The 17,329-nt window shown below is 42.4% G+C and overlaps 2 long non-coding RNA genes across 12 annotated transcripts in view; one reads left to right on the top strand and one right to left on the bottom strand.

The window, feature by feature from the left end:
* The window catches only part of LINC02030 (long intergenic non-protein coding RNA 2030), a 74,093-nt gene extending 58,164 nt beyond the window's left edge, over positions 1–15,929 (bottom strand). For 4 of the 11 annotated variants that reach the window (NR_183748.1, NR_183749.1, NR_183744.1 and 1 more), the window contains exons 1-2: positions 15,816–15,929; positions 11,931–12,025 (exon numbers count right to left, since the gene is read on the bottom strand). This is a non-coding gene — a long non-coding RNA (long intergenic non-protein coding RNA 2030). Of the gene's footprint in view, positions 1–9,424; positions 9,585–11,926; positions 12,026–14,385; positions 14,525–15,815 lie in introns of all 11 variants that reach the window. The other 7 variants (NR_183741.1, NR_183745.1, NR_183750.1 and 4 more) reach the window with 4 other exon arrangements.
* LOC124906243 (uncharacterized) overlaps positions 1–17,329 on the top strand; it is a 207,146-nt gene that overhangs the window by 108,170 nt on the left and 81,647 nt on the right. The gene's annotated exons all lie outside the window — the stretch shown is intronic.

The following is a 17,329-nucleotide window of genomic DNA, read 5'->3' as shown; positions in this document are numbered from 1 at the left end:
GAGGAAAAATACCAATTGCAGAGGTTCAGGGGGATTCAAATTGTGAATTTAGCAGGACTGGGCTTAAACACAACACTCTTTCCAGTGTAGTTATGAGTTAGTTACAAGTTTGGAGGTCATGGCAAGATGAGTCTAACTTATTGATGGAGAAATATGCTTTCTCCATCTGAGCTAATGGATTATCCGGGCCATTTGGGACCCTCGTGTCTAAGTATCAGAAGAAGCTATTTTTAATTTATTAAAAAGGGAATTGAGAACCAACCTGGTTTCCTTAAATGTGTTTCTTGCCAACAGACGAATGAAAGCACCCATTCAGAGATTTTTATTTTCTAGCTTTGGTTAGCATCCTTATTCTTTTCTCTGAGTCAATGTGGATACCCTGGTCAAAAGTTTCTTATTGATTTTGGAAAAGAACTGACTTCACATGTATAACCAGCAGTGCTCTGATGTCTGGGAAGTAGAGTTATGGGGAATAACGACTAATGGGCAATCCCAGAGGGCCAGCTGCATGCTGACAACTCTCCCTGCACATCATTTAGCAGGGTCTTCATTTTGGAGCAATGGATGAAGGCCTGTCCAGCATTGCATGAAGGCTGCTTTGTGACTGTGTTTTATCCCTCATCTTGAAATAGGAGGTGTTCTCTGAAACAATCGTATATGTTAAACTTGTATGATCAACGTCAGGGAGGATAAACCTTATATATTTGTTGGTGCATTGATCCATCCATCCATCCATCCATCCATCTATCCATCCATCCTTATTGTGTACTCTGCTTGTTTCTTCTTATAAGGACACCCATAATTCTACTCTCTTCAAGGATGGTGCATTAAGCATGTATTTTATTTTGATATTTGACATCTTGGGGCCTTGTGGAAACTGGAAAAAACTGCCCCCTCAGGGTTAGTTAATTTCGACAGACAGCAAATATCACCCCCAGGAGAATATCTTCCATATGCGAACCAACCTAACACAACCACTTCTTTTTCAGACTCTCACTGGGTTCTCAAACTTGGGCCATTATCCTCTTACCCTAATCTCTCTAGGTCCAGGTACCAGGGTACCAAGAGATAGTCCCCAGAGCCTACCAAAATTATTTAAGCCAGCCAGTGCTAAACCTGCTTAACCTGCCTCCCACATTGCTTCCTGCAAAAGCCACAATAAAGATTCTTGCCCATATTTTCCCCTTGCTCCTCTTGCCTCTTGATGGACCCTGGTGCTTCCTGTGTGGCCCTCTGTGGTGCAGCATGCCCCTCCTCTTAAGAACTGTGAGTAACAAACTATCTTTTCAATGGCTGTTCGCTTTTGTTCTGTTGGCCTCACCATACCAATAATAATAAAAGCTATATTTTAAACAGGTGGAATCAATATACCTTCCTTCAGAGCCTCAACACAGATCTGAATGGATCTGTGGCCCTGAGATTGGAGGTCAGGAAACCCAGCCCTGACTGTACCAGATGCATAACAAGTGTTTTGTCCAAACCATTTGATGTTGCTAGGGTTACATTTCCACTACCATCAACATGTACAATTTTAATTTTGAGGCATTGCAATAAAGGTCACATGGGTTTGCATACATGAAATACATAGCATGTGTTAGGAAGGAAATTAAATCTGATGTTACTTCCCTCAAGCATCTCGTTCTTCCTTACTCGAGTTTTATAAATCCCACTCTAGGAGATTTTCTCTATGTGTAATCCCCATTGAGCTGCTGGGGACCACAGGGAGGTCCATTTTCAACCTCAGCGTGAAGAATAAAGTGGCGGTAGGCATCAAAGGCACAAAAGTGGAGTCGGATTTCTTTTTTTTTTTTTTTGAGACGGAGTCTCGCTCTGTCGCCCAGGCTGGAGTGCAGTGGCGGGATCTCGGCTCACTGCAAGCTCCGCCTCCCGGGTTCACGCCATTCTCCTGCCTCAGCCTCCCAAGTAGCTGGGACTACAGGCGCCCGCCACTACGCCCGGCTAATTTTTTGTATTTTTAGTAGAGACGGGGTTTCACCGTTTTCGCCAGGATGGTCTCGATCTCCTGACCTCGTGATCCGCCCGCCTCGGCCTCCCAAAGTGCTGGGATTACAGGCGTGAGCCACCGCGCCCGGCCGAGTCGGATTTCTTGTAGTGACTGTGCCACTCACTGGCTGGGTGGTCATAGGAAAATTACTATTCTTCTCTGTGCCTTGTTTTCCTGATCTGTAAAATGGGGATAATTCCCTTCTTCACAGGATTGTTCTGAAGATGAAGTAGGACACTTAGAAAGTCGTGCATGTTCTGTGGATGTCAATGAGTAGGGGTAGAAAGAGCACTACAAGGAGACTTCCTGTATCACTACAGACTCACTCCTGCACCTCTCATAATTGTAAATCCCAAGCAACCATCATAATATACCTCTGCTGTTTTGGTTTCTTTTTTAAACTTTTATTTTAAGTTCAAAGGTCCATGTACAGGATGTTCAGGTTTGTTACATAGGTAAACATGTGTCATGGGGGTTTGTTGTGCAGATTATTTCATCACCCAGGTATTAACCCTAGTATCCATTAGTTATTTTTCCTGATCCTCTCCCTCCTCCCACTCTCCACCCTCCAATAGGCCCCAGTGTGTGTTGTTCCCCTCTATGTGTCCATGTGTTCTCATCATTTAGCTCCCACTTATAAGTGAGAACATGTGGTATTTGGTTTTCTGTTCCTGTGTTAGTTTGCTAGGGATAATGGCCTCCAGCTCCATCCATGTCCCTGAAAAGGAAATGATCCCGTTCTTTATTATGGCTGCATAGTATCCCATGGTGTATATGTACCACATTTTCTTTATTCAGTCTATCACTGATGAGCATTTGAGTTGATTCCTTGTCATTACTGTTGTGAATAGTGCTGCAATGAACATACACATGCATGTGTCTTTATGATAGAATGATTTATATTCCTTTGGGTATATACCCAGCAGTGGGATTGCTGTGTTGAATGGTATTTCTGTTTTTAGGTCTTTGAGGAATTGACACACTGTGTTCCACGAAGGCTGAACTAATTTATACTCCCACCAAGAGTGTATAGCATTCCTTTTTCTCCACAACCTCACCAACATTTGTTATTTTTTTGACTTTTTAATAATAACCATTCTGAATTGTGTTAGATAGTATCTCATTGTGGTTTTGATTTGCATTTCTCTAATGATCAGTGATGTTGAGCTTTCTTTCATATGCTGGTTGGACACATGTATGTCTTCTTTTGAGAAGTATCTGTTCATGTCCTTTGCCCACTTTTTAATGGGGTTGTGTGGGTTTGGTTTTGTTTTGTTTTGTAAATTTCTTTAGGTTCCTTATAGATGCTGGATATTAGACCTTTGTCAGATGCATAATTTGCAAAAATTTTGTCCCATTCCATAGGTTGCTCATTTACTCTGTTGATAGTTTCTTTCACTGTGCAGAAGCTCTTTAGTTTAGATTCCACTTGTCAACTTTTGCTTTTGTTCCAACTGTTTTTGGTGTCTGCATCATGAAATCTTTGCTCACGCCTGTGTCCAGAATGGTATTGCCTAGGTTGCCTTCCAGGATTTTTATAGTTTTAGAATATCCCCCTACTGTCGACAAGATGCCATTTCTCTGATCAACTACTTTCTAGAGAATGGAGCAGCTGGTTTAACCAAGCTACTTTTGACCTGAACATGACATACCTTATCTAAATCTCAAACAAGAACTCAAATATTATATGTTGATAGATCTTCAAGCCAAAACAGTTTTACTGTTACAAATGAGATTTTTACAATCATACCCAATCCTGCAGGTTTATGAAATGACTATACTGGAATATCTGAACTGATTTTAAACAACCTGATTTCAACTGATGCCACTTAAGTGTCCTACTAGCCAATCAGAGATGAGCTGCTTCTTTATTGCCTGCTGCTTGATTCCTTTTCCCCTCAAGAAGCCTTCTCCTGATGATTGTTTTCAAAGTATGATGGACAATTGGGCCATGTGTGGTGGCTCACACCTGTAATCCCAGCACTTTGGGAGGCTGAGACCAGAAGTTCAAGACCAACCTAGCCAACATAGTGAGACTCCCCCAACTCTACAAAACAAGAAAAGAAAGGCTGGGCTCAGTGACTCACGCCTGTAATCCCAGCACTTTGGGAGGCTGAGGCGAGTGGATCACAATGTCAGGAGATTGAGACCATCCTGGCCAACATGGTGAAACCCTGTCTCTACTAAAATACAAAAAAATTAGCCAGGCATAGTGGCATGCACCTGTAGTCCCAGCTACTTGGGAGGCTGAGGCAGGGGAATCACTTGAACCCAGAAAGTGGATGTTGCAGCGAGCCGAGATCACACCACTGCACTCCAGCCTGGCAATAGAGCAAGACTCCGTCTCAAAAAAAAAAAAAAAAAAGTATGATGGACAGTAATGATAAATAGATCTCATTAGTACTGAAATAATAACTAATTGATAAATGATTAAAACATGTAAGCACAGATTTAGTGTAAGTACATGGACATCAGAGTCAGTCCAACCCTCATTGGAATTCAAACTCTAGTACTCGTACGAGACATTTACCTTCTCAGAACCTTGTTTATTCAGCTGTAGAATGCAAGTGGTAAATTGACCTTGCAGGGTTATAAATGCTGGTAACGCAGTAATAGCAACCATGACAGTTAGTATCTATGGAGCACTTACCACTTGCTAGGCATTATATTAATTCATTTTTAACCCAAGCAATAGCCCTACAAGGTGATTATTATGATCAGTTTACAGTTGAAGATGACGAGGCACAGATAAGTAAAGTGATACTTGGATAGTTGGAGCCAGCATTGGCACCCAGGATGCCTGATCTGGAGCCTGTGCCCTTAACTGCTACACTATGTGGTCTCCCAGTAATATTTCAGCAGTTATCAACACACATTTTTCTTGATTTCAGGTTGTTTTGAGGCCTCTGGGACAAGGAATGTCAAGACCCCTCTCACAGCTCAACTGCCCACCCACTCTCACTGCCAAGCCCCTTCTGTCACCAGCTCATATCTCTCAAAACGCAACACTCCCTCCACTGCCAATTCAGGCTTCGGGAGCTGGTAGGAATAGGGGAGTCCAAAAGGCCAGGGTGGGGGCCAGGCTGCCTCAAGAAGGGGCCCAAGGAAACTTGGAAGCAGGGCCGGAATGAGTCAATCAGTCAGCAAGTATTTATTTAGTGCTAGGCAGCTTGGGGGATACAGAGAATTATAAGATGCCATCCGGTCCCTGGCTGGATTTCTGGCGAGATTCCCCCATGTAAGAACCAAGCCTGGAGCTGACGCCCACCCAGCCCATGGAAGGCTGCCATGGCTGTGAAAGTGGCTGCCTGGCCTCTGCGGAGGAGCAGGGAGAGGCAGGGAGGCAAAGAAGCTTGGAATGGGCAGGCCAAGCTCGTGTCCCAGCAATGCCACATGCCACAAGCGAGTCACATCACCATTCTGAGCCTCAGTTTCCACGGATGTACAATGGGAATAATAGCAGTACCTGCCCAGGTATTGACCAGCTGGTGTGTGGAAAGTGTTTAGTCCGGGGCTTGGTGTGATCCAAAAATGCAGGTGCTTTTTAAAAGGCAATGATTTTGTTAGACAGTAAAAAAAGGTGTGTTCTGGAAGCCCTTTGTGTCCAGGCCCAGATCCTTTTGACCACATGACAATCCAGTCACCACTGTGGCAGCCATGCAACACAGGTGTAACTGAGAGCACTCTCACATGCTGCCTGCTGGGAGCTCCTGCACACACCCTTCATGGATGCTCCCTTCACTGAGAGGAAGTTAACACCTATGGGTAACCTACGGGTATCGCTTAACCAGCAGAAGACAGAGCTGGAAGATAAATACTCCCCTCCTTTGTCCTTCAGGCACACAATTCTGAGATGCTCTCTACACACTCCTCAGAAGCCCCTGCTAACATGTGGGCAAGCCCTACTGTGGAGGCCTGCTTGAACCCACCCTCTCCCTGTGGCACTCTCCCCACTCCTCCTACCTGTTTCCTGGGACCACTCCCCACAGTAACCGCACTCGTGGTATGTGTGTGGAAGGAAGTTCCCCAGGGAAAACGTGGTACAACAAAATGCCCGAGAGCTCACTCAGACTTGGGTTCGAACCCAAGCTCTCCCAAGCACTGGCTGTGAGATGGAAGCGTTACCAAATGTCTCTGAACCTGTGTTTCACCATCAGTAAAGTGGGAATACTTTGTGGTATAGGCTGTATGCGGTGGAGAAAATAATGTCTAGAAAGTGTTTCATCTCCTAGATTTGATAAACAAATTTGGTAAAGTCTCAGGTTACAAAATCAGTGTACACAACTCAGCAGCACTGCTATATACCAATAATGATTAAGCTGAGAATCAAATCAAGAGCTCAATTCCTTTTACAACAGCTACAAGAAAGAAAAAAAAACCTAGGAATAAACTTAACCAAGGAGATGAAAGATCTCTACAAGAACTATAAAACGCTGCTGAAAGAAATCATACAAGACACAAATGGAAACACATCCCATGCTCATGGATTGGAAGAATCGATATTGTGAAAATGACCATACTGCCCAAAGCAATCTACAGATTCAATGCAATTCCTATCAAAATACCAACATTATTTTTCACAGAATTAGAAAAAAAACAATCCTGAAATTCATATGAAAGCAAAAAAGAGCCTCAATAGCTAAATAAATCCTAAGCAAAAAGAACAAGTCTGAAGGCATTACATTATCAGACTTCAGGTTATACTACAAGGCTATAGTTACCAAAACAGCATGGTACTGGTATAAAAGTAGGCACACAGACCAATGGAACAGAATAGGGAACCCAAAAATAAAGCCAAATATTTACAACCAACTGATCTTTGACAAAGCATACAAAGGTATAAATTGGGGAAAGGAAAATCTATTTAATAAATGGTGCTGGGAAAACTGACTAGCCACATGAAGAAAGAAACTAGATATCTCTCACATTTTTGTTTATACAAAAATAAACTCAAGGTGGATCAAAGTCTTAAATCTGAGACCCAAAAACCATAAAAATTCTAGAATACAACCTTGGAAAAATGCTTCTGACATTGGCCCAAGCAAAGAATTCAAGAATTCATGACTAAGACCCCAAAAGCCAATGCAACAGAAACAAAAATAAATAAATGGGACCTGATTAAATTAAAAAGCTTTTGCACAGCAAAAGAAATAATCATGAGTAAACAGACAACCCACAGAATGGGAGAAAATATTTGCAAACTATGCATCTAACAAAAGACTAGTATCCAGCATCTACAAGGAATTGAAGCAAATCAGCAAGAAAGAAACAATCCCATCAAAAAGTGGGCAAATGACATAAATAGACATTTCTCAAAAGAAAATATACAAATAGCCAACAAGTATATGAAAAAATGCTCAACATCACTAATCATCAGGGAAACTCAAATTAAAACCACAATGAGACACCACGTCAGTCTTCCAAGAATGGCTATCACTAAAAAGTCAAAAAACAATAGATGTTAGCATGGATATGGTGAAAGCGAAACACTTAAGTACTGCTGGTGGCAATGTGAATTAGTACAACCCCTATGAAAAGTAGTAAGGCTATTCCTTAAAGAATTAAAAGTAGATCTACTATTCAATCCAGCAATCCCACTACTGGGTATCTACCCAAGGGGAAAGAAGTCATTATATGAAAAAGACACCGGCACAAGCATGTTTATAGCAGTACAATTCACAATTGCAAAGATATGGAATCAACCTAAGTGCCCATTGACCAATGAGTGGATAAAAACAATGTGGTATATATACCCCAGGGAATACTACTCAGCCATAAAAAGGAACAAGATAATGTCTTTTGTGGCAACTTGGATAGAGCTGGAGGCCGTTATTCTAAGTGAAGTATATTATTCAAGGATGGAAAACCAAACACAGTATGTTCTTACTTATAAGTGGGAACTAAGCTATGAATATGTAACAGCATACATAGTGATATAATGGACTTTGGAGACTCAGGAGGGGGATGGTGGGAGGAGGATGTGGGATTAAAAAAACTACATATTTGGTACAACATACACCACTTGGGTGACAAGTGCCCTAAAATCTCAGCATTCGCCACTATATAATTCTTCCATGTAATAAAAAACCACTTATACCCCAAAGCCATTGAAATTTAAAAAGTCTAAAAATAAAAAGACTTTTTTTTAAAAAAATAGAAAGTGCTTAGTCTGTGCCTGGTGCCCAGAGCTGAGTTCTCCAGAAGCAGAACCTGAGGCCAGGATTCGTGGGAAAGAGATTTATTGGGAGGTGATCCCAGGAAAAGCCAGAGAAAGGGAAGCCAGAAGGAAGGGAATCAAAGATATTAAGAAAGTTACACCAAAAATGACTTTGGCTGAATCCCCCAGGGAGCTCTGGAAACAATGCAGACCCAGCTCAGAGGGAGGTGGCTTGTTAAGGGCTGTCCCTGGAGGATATAAACTCCCAGACACCTTGGCTCTTAGTGCATTCAGGCAAGGTAGGCTCCAGCAGGCTCACCTATAAAGACATTCAGGTTCAGGTTGCTTGGAGTGAATGCACAGTGGGAACAGAGTGCAAGAAAATGATCAGCAGAGATAACAGGCCCTAAGAAATCCGGGTACGGCACTGACCTTCTCTGCCACAGCTTATTAGTGTTGTTGTTCATGGTTAGTATGCTATTTTTTTTAGAGGCTTCTGGAATAATAGAAAAGCAAGGCTCTAGAGCATTCAAAACACCAGTTTCCCCAGTTCTCTTGAGGCTTTCCTTCTTAGAGCTCATCTTCACTAAACATCATGTGATGATGACCTCTCCTCTGAAAACCAGCCTCCTGAGTGGGCCTGCTACCATTTGTCAACAGCCACTCAAGGCTTTTCCCAGTCCCCGGAGACACCCTGAGGGTAGCAGTAATAATGCACTCTCACTCTTTTTCTCCCTCTCTCTCCACCCTCATCCCCCTCTTTCTCTCTGAAGGTTCACATACCCAAGACCCCTCCAGATCTCTGGTGGTGACTAGCCTGGAGATGGGGGAGCCACAGGCACCACAGAGAGGCCAGGCTGGGAACAGAGGTGATTGGAATCTTCCAGGTGAGGGGAGGTGGTGTTCTCAACACAGGAAGAGGGGAGAGGCAGAGCGTCAAGTGGGTGGTTTGGAAGTTATTTGGGGACAGTTGGATACGGGGAGGTGAGACAGACAGGAGGCACTCAGGATCCCTGGCCAGGTTTCCCACTTGGGCAAATGGGTAGATGGTGGAGACATTCACTGGAATGGCAAAGCAGAGGAGAAGCAGGCTTAGTGTTGGAAGACAAGCCCAATGTAGGATCTTTTCTATTTGAAATCTACAAGACGGGCAAATAAAACTGTCATTAGGCAGAAGGCTCTTTGAGTCTGTAGCCCAGGAAAGCCAGCTTGGTGAAGCTCTAAATTGAAGATCTACCAAAATGAAGCAAGTGAGGACTTACCATTGAGGAAGAGCAGGACTGTGATGTCATGTGACCTACTAGCTGGGACTTGGAGATCAGCACATGGAAAAGGCATGTCTGGCTTCTGTCTCTGTAGAGGAGAGCACGGGCTTGCTCTCATGCCACTTCCCCTCATGTTCTTCCATCAACCTTGATGCTCCTGGGAATGCAGTGTTTAAAACATTTTGTTGAAAAGACATCTTTTTTGGAGAATGTGCTGAGCGGGGTTGGGGCTATTACTCTCCTGACTACACGGCTTCTCCCACTCCAGCCTCTGCTCTGATACTGCAGAGGGAATGGCCATTTTTGGGTCTCTCTGGCAAAGAGGGCTCAGGTACTGCTGCTTCCCTCAGCTCTGTCCTGACTCTTTTTTCTAACACTCCTGGCCCTGTCCCATCCCTGTCAGAGTAGGTGCATCGCTGTCTGTCAAGGAAATGCATTCTGGAAAGAAGCTCCAGGTTGCAGAAGCTCTGCCACCTGACGTAGAACTATTGCAGGGACCATAGAGGCACAACTGTGATGGGCCCCTGTGTTAGTCAGGGTTCTTTGGAGGGACAGAAATGATAGGATAGAAAGGGAGTTTATTAAGGAGAATTGACTCACACGATCACAAGATGAAGTCCCACAATAGGCCGTCTGCAAGCTGAGGAGCAAGGAAGCCAGTAGTGGCTCAATCCAAGTCCCAAAGCCTTAAAAGTAGGGAAGCCAATGGTGCAGCCTCCATTCTGTGACCAAAGGCCTGAGAGCCCCTGGCAGACCACTGGTGTAAGTCCAAGAGTCCAAAGGCCCAAGAATCTGGAGTCTGATATTCATGGGCAGGAAGCATCTAGCACCGAAGAAAGATAAAAGCCAGAAAACTCTGCAACCCAGCTTATTCCATTCTCTTCTGCCTGCTTTTTCTAGCCACACTGGCAGCCAAATGGATGGTGCCCACCCACACTGAGGGTGGGTCTTCCTCTCCCAGTCCACTGAGTCAAATGTCAATCTCCTCTGGCAACACTGTCACAGACACACCCAGAAACAATACTTTGCATCCTTCAATCCAATCAGGTTAACACCTAATATTAACCATCACAACACCTTCTTCCCTTTCCTGGAGAGGAATCTGTAGCTCCTCAATCAGCACCCCAGGCCTCCTCCCTGCTTTGAGAACGTCTCAGAGCTGACCCTACCCTCAGCTGGCTCTCTCACTCTCAAGTATGTGCCACAGACCTGTCTCTGGGTTGAGGACACTAGAGGTCTTGAGCATCAGGAAATGAGCTCCCTAGGGAGAATCTCATGGCCCCTTTTGTTCATCAGAGTCCACACTCAATAGACTTGTGAAAGGGACAAGGGACACCTTGCCCAGAACTTGGGATCAGTGAAATCCTCCTGAAGGAAGTGATGTCCCTTGTGAGTTTTGACCAGGTGAGTAGGATTACCCAGATTCAGAGAGGCCAGGGGGAAAAAAGACCATTCCAGGCAGAGGGAATTGCATAAACCCGGTCCAGAGGACAGAAGGAAGGAGCCCATCCAGGAATTCCCTTTGGTTGGAGCATGAATTCACAAAGAAGAAAATGAGATGTGTGTCCCAGGAAGTTAAGACAGGCCAGGTCATGCAGACTCCTCATACAAGGGAGGTGGGTTCCAGGGAGGGAAAGTGGGTTCTGGAAAGGCAGGGATGCAGACTTTGAAGGGGTTTGAGCAAGGAACAAATCTGATCATGTTTGAACTTTAAAAGGTAGTTTTGGCTACCAAGCGGAGAATGGATTGAGGCTCACTTTTGGAAACAGAGCAATGGGGATGGGAGAAGAGGAGTCAGCTGTTGAGGTCCAAGTGAGAGATGAGTGCAGTCTCACCAGGGTGGTGGACGGGGATGAAAAGAAGTGGATGGATTTCAAAAGTGTTCAAGAACTACAGTTGATTGAATCTGGCAACTGAATAGATGTGAGAGGCAAGTTACAGGGAGGAGTCAAGGACGTCACTGAGAGTTTTGATCTAGACAACTGTGAGAGGATGGGACTATTCACTGCAATAGAAAGTCAGGAAGCAGGTGAGAGTGGGGCGGGACATGATCTTGCGTTTCTGTCAACTGAATTAACCATCTGATCTTCATGAGTGACGATAGCCAGTTGGTGCTTGCAGCTTGCAGTTTGCAGCATGCTCTCACGCTGCTTCCTCCAATGTCCTTTTATCTGTGTGAGTGTTCCTGGCAATGCCATGTTTAAAACATTTGGTTGAAAGGGCTGGAGTGAATTTGTTCAGCTCAACCCATACTTTCCCATCCTCATCACTCAAGACACATAGACTCAACTCCCAATAGCCAACATCTGTATTGCTGTGCCTGATGCTTTCCTCTTGCTGGAATTAACATATTCCAGGAGCACATCCTAACCAGTGATGTTTAATGGTTGGTAGTTGTGTTTAAATACCCCGGCTCCCTCACCCCTCAGGCAGGATCACTCCGAAGGGTGTGTTCTCCACCCCCTCCCAGAGATCCTCAGCAGGATTAACTCTACTCACTCACTGGGGAAGCTGGCCTAGAATGCACTCATTATTGAGCTTCTTCCCTTCCCGGCTCTCTTCTCCACAGTCATGTTGTCTTCACTTCCTGATCAGGGCCTATTTGGGGAATAATTCAAACCAAGACATTAGCCCATGGATGTGAACAACTGTGGGACAGAGTGGGGTTGTCCCACTGTCTCCAGTGGACACAGTGGAGTACATAAAGACAAAGAGAATCTATTAAACAGGACACAGGAGAAGGTCAACAACTAAGGGTTGGGCTGAGACATTCCTTGAAAGGAATCCAAGAAGGCTCAGTCTAGGAAGTGGGAGAAGGGAGTCTCAGGAGTTGACAGTGAGCAGCATTGTCTGATTCCACCAAGCCATACAGTCATGTGAGATAAGAACCGAACTGCTCCTACCAAGGTAAGCATTGTGGAGGTCACTGATAAACTGGGTGGCAGCAGTGTCAGAAAAGCGATGTGGAAGAATTCAAGCTGTGGTAAGTTGAGGGATCCGAGCAAATATAGATGCTCACCTTGTTTTCTCCTCCTCTCACTACTCATCAACTCCTTCCCCTCTTTGACCCCAGAGAGAACTCCCTTTCCCTCCCAGTTCTTTGTGCCCTCCCACCAGAGGGCCTTTGCACATTTTTGTTCCTCTGCCTGGAATGGCTTCTCGATCCCACTCATCTTCTGAACTCCTTCAAATTCTTTAGAATTTTCCTGATGCCCAAGACATGATTAGCTTCCTTCACTAGTTCTCTAAAGCTATTGCTTTTCTTAAAAGCATTTATCTCAGATTGCACTTTCTTTCTTCTCACTCTTTATCCATCTTGTCCACTCAATTTTAAGCTCTGCTATGCTCACCGTTACATCCCCCAGTGCCTTGCCTGGTGCTCTCTGACATAATAGAAATTCAATAAATATTTATTGAATGAATGAGCCCTCCTCCTGGTTGACATCCCCACTCTTGATAACCCTGGACCTTGAACTTGAAAACAAGGATCTTCAACAACATGCACCATCCTACTTTTTTATTCTTCTAATTATTAGATTGGTGCAAACATAATTGCAGTTTTTGCCATTAAAAGTAATTGCAAAAACTGCAATCACATTTGCACTAACCCAGTAGAATCATATGCAAAGCCTGTAATGATTCTCTCCCCAGTTGCCCTGCTTTTATGTGCCATTTTATTCTGGTTTCCAGCATGTTCAGTTTCCTGTTGGACAAGGTCTACCTCTCCTCGGCTAGGATTATGAAGCCAGTGGGCTCTTTTAGTAGCTTTGGCTATGGATAGTCAAAACCAATCTACTGCTCAGCTGTCAGAGCCTGAGGAAGCTTTAATTACAGAGAACATGGATATCACGGGCGACATTTCTAAGCTTTTCAAACTGTAGGACCCATCTGGACAATTTCAGAAAGGTTAGCCATGTGGTGTGTTCCATGTTACATAACCCATGCTTAATACTGCTGCTTGTGTTCCCAGACATTACCAAAAAAATTTCAGGACACTTTTACCCCAAGGTATCTAGAAAACTTATAGAAAGCCTCCTCAAAATGTTCATGTTTATGCCCAGGTTCAACATGTGAATCCTTCCATCACTTTCCTCTTTGAACACTCATGAGGGAATAGGGTCTTGTGCTCTCTGAAGATTCCTTTAGTCTTTGGCCTGCCCCCATGTCAGGTGGTAATCACCACTTTAAAACACTGAGATTAGTGCAGTAAAAAAGATTTATGAATATTAATTCTTTTTATAGCAGGTCATAATGTGAGCTAGAGAACAAACAGAGTATGGTTTCATTCCAACGCCTTACTGCAAAGAAGAATGGGGGTTGCACATTGTGGAAAATATTAGTTGGAGATGCTAGTTTGAAAACTAATTTATTGAGAATGGCTTTGGCCATAACTCGCCAGACACCCTGAATTTGTGGAGAATCTGTTCTAGAGAGTAAGGATCATGAATTTTATAAGCGTTGTATTGTTCACAATCAATAGCATTATCCAAAAAATTTTTAAAATATACTATTACAATGCAAACCCCAAAACACTACAGTGGCTCATATTAAGAAGAAAGATGATTCCTTTTCAAACTTTCTAGAGTTAGAGTTTACAAGGTTGAGTTTTCCCACTGGCTGGTCATTTCCCTACAACCCCATTATAGCCTTCACCTTTGCCCCTCCCTGAAATGATGTTTTCAGAAATCACTGGAGTATTCAATTCAGTAGCCTCTCCTTGCTGTCTTTGCAGTATTCTGACATCATTGACCCTTTCTTCCCTGACATTCTCTCTTCCTTTGACATCAGCAAGAAAAATCCTAGAAGGCTGTGTAACTGTAGTTAAGGGCACAGACTGGATTCAGCCGGGTTATCGGGGTTCCAATCTCAGCCCTATACTTAACTAGCTGTGGGACTTTGGACAAGTTAATTAACCTCATTGTCCTCATCTGTAAAGTGGGAGTAAGGGTAGTACTCACCTCTTGGAGTGGCTGTGTGTCCCCTGCCTGTTAACTTGGTCACCTTTGAGAATCAATGTTTAATTTTGATGCCCGAGCTAAGTCATTGGTTTTTCTCTTTAGAGTTTATGTTTTGGAGTCTTGATTAAGAAATCCTTTCCTATTCCAAAGTCATAAAGATATTATTTACACTTTCTTCATTAATTCTATACTTTTAACTTTCACATTTGATTCTTATTGCATATAGAGTTTATTTTTTATTTGAAGGGAAGTAGCAATTAAATTTTAATTTGCCATAGAGTGAGGTTATTTACCAAATAATCAGTTCTTTCTCTCATTGATTCGTGATGCCATTTTTGTAATATGCCAAGTTCCTGGAGGCACCCGGGAGTCCACATGAGTATTCTGATCTGCTACCTTTGTCTTCAGTCCTGCCCCTATTTTATTGCCATACTATCCTAATTACTACTGCTTTTTAATATTTCTTAATACCTGGCAGGAAGAATCTTCGTGCTCTTCTCTTTCAAAATATTATTTAATATCTACAGACCTTTATTTATCCATACATATTTTAGAATCTATTTTTTAAAAAAAACCTTGAAATTTAATTGGAATTGCATTAATTTTCAACTTAGTTTGAGAAATATTGATAACATTCTAATGTTGAATTACCCCAACCCTGGGCATGATCCTTATGTAGGCCTCCTTTTATGTCCTAGAATAAAATTTAACATTTTTCATAAAGATCCTGTGTAGTCTTTATTAAGTTAGCTAAGAGATAATCCCAGTTTAATTGATAATTCAAGGTAGAATTTTTTTTTCTCTCTTTTTTTGAGACGGAGTCTCACTCTGTTGCCCAGGCTGCAGTGCAGTGGCATGATCTTAGCTAACTGCAACCCCCATCTCCTGGGTTCAAGCTATTGTCCTGCCTCAGCCTCCCAAGTAGTTGGGATTACAGGTGCCACTACTACACCTGGCTAAGTATTTTTGTATTTTTTTTTAGTAGAGGCGAAGTTTCACCATGTTGGTCAGACTGGGCTTGAACTCCTGACTCAGGTGATCTGCCAGCCTCAGCCTCCCAAAGTGCTGGGATTATAGGCGTGAGCCACCGGACCCAGCCACAAGGTAGAAAATTTGACAATTCAAATTATCTTATACTTTTGAATAGAAATTTGCTTTAGTAGGTGCACATTAGTAGTGTTATTGATTTTTATTCTCTTATTGTTTTCCAAATTTTTTTTTTGTTTTTGTTTTTGTTTTTGTTTTGAGACAGAGTCTCACTGACTTTGTCACCCAGGCTGAAGTGCATTGGCATGATCTCATCTCACTGCAACGTTAGCCTTCCTGGTTCAGGCAATTCTCCTGCTTCAGCCTCCCTAGTAGCTGGGATTACAGGTGTGTGCCACCACTAACAGCTAATTTTTATATTTTTAGTAGAGACGGGGTCTCACCACATTGGCTGGGCTGGTCCCAAACTTCTGACCTCAAGTGATTCACCCATGTTGACCTCCCAAACTGCTGGGATTACAGGCATGAGCCACCGTGCAGCCCCAGATGTTTTGAATAATGGTTGTTATGGTGATAATTCTTTTCTTTGTCCTGACCTGAAAAAAAATAGTTCTAAAATCTTGTAAAGCGTATTCATTAAAATGATGTTTTCAATGAATTTTGATAGATAAACTTTATCAGATTACGGAAATTCCTTTATAGTCTAGTTTTCTAAAGTTTTTTTTTCCAGAAATGGATGTTGAACTTATTTTTGGCTTTTTTAATTTTTTAATTTTTAATTTTAACTTGTATGGGTATATAGTAGGTGTATATTTTTATGGGGAACATGAGATGTTTTGATACAGGTATGCAATGTGAAATAATCACATCGTATAAAATGGTTCATCCATCCCCTCAAGTATTTATCCTTTGTGTTACAAACAATCCAATTATACTCTTTTGGCTATTTTTAAATGTATAATTAAATTATTATTGACCATAGTCACTCTGTTGTGCTGTCAAATACTAGACCTTATACATTCTTTCTAACTATTAATATTTTTTGTACCCATTAACCATCCTCATCTCTCCATGTTGAAATTTACTGCATGCTTTCTCTATTACTATTGCAACCTTAAACTTTATTAGTCTATTAAAAAGAAGTTATATTGCTGGGTTTTCTTATTTTAAGCCATCCTTGAGTCATGGTCATTTTAATATACTTTCAGAAATAAATAGGATGTATTTTATTGAAGATTTAAAAAATTAAGTTTAGAAGCTGACTTGTGCTATTATTTTTGTCATGTACTTGTTTCGTGTGACTTGGCTGTTAGAATTATACTAGCCTCAGCCAGGCGCGGTGGCTCACCCCTGTAATCCTAGCACCTTGGGAAGCCAAGGCAGGTGGATTATCTGAGCTCAAGAGTTTGAGACCAGTCTGGGCAACACGGCAAAACCCCATCTCTACTAAAATACAAAAAATTAGCCGGGCGTGACGGTGTGCATGTGTAATCTCAGCTACTCGGGAGGCTGAGGCAGGAGAATTGCTAGAAGCTGGGAGGCAGAGGTGTCAGTGAGCTGAGATTGTCCCACTGCACTCCAGCCTGGGCAACAGAGTGAGACTCCATCTCAAAAAAAAAAAAAAAAAAAGAATTATACTAGCCTCACAAAATAATCTGTCCAGACTTCGTCATTTTTGACTTTTTGGGACAACATGTATAACAACTGCATATTCCTTACCTCATCTCTAAAACCCTCTATGCGTGTCATTTTGGAGTAGGAGCGAATTGATTATCACTTTAATTTCTTTAAATAATACAAGTTTATGTACATTTTAACATTTTTTATAAACATTGTTTTTTCTAGGTTTGCAAATATATTAGAATATGACTGATATTATTTAACTTGTCCCTATATTTATTCCGTATTCTTTATTTCATCTCCCTTTTTCCCTGTTTTTTGAAAAAAACTGTTACCA

This window comes from Homo sapiens, chromosome 3 (assembly GCF_000001405.40).
Source record: "Homo sapiens chromosome 3, GRCh38.p14 Primary Assembly".
Lineage (NCBI taxonomy): Eukaryota > Metazoa > Chordata > Mammalia > Primates > Hominidae > Homo > Homo sapiens.
Note: the sequence above shows the minus strand (reverse complement) of the source record. Positions and strands in the feature narration are given on the sequence as shown.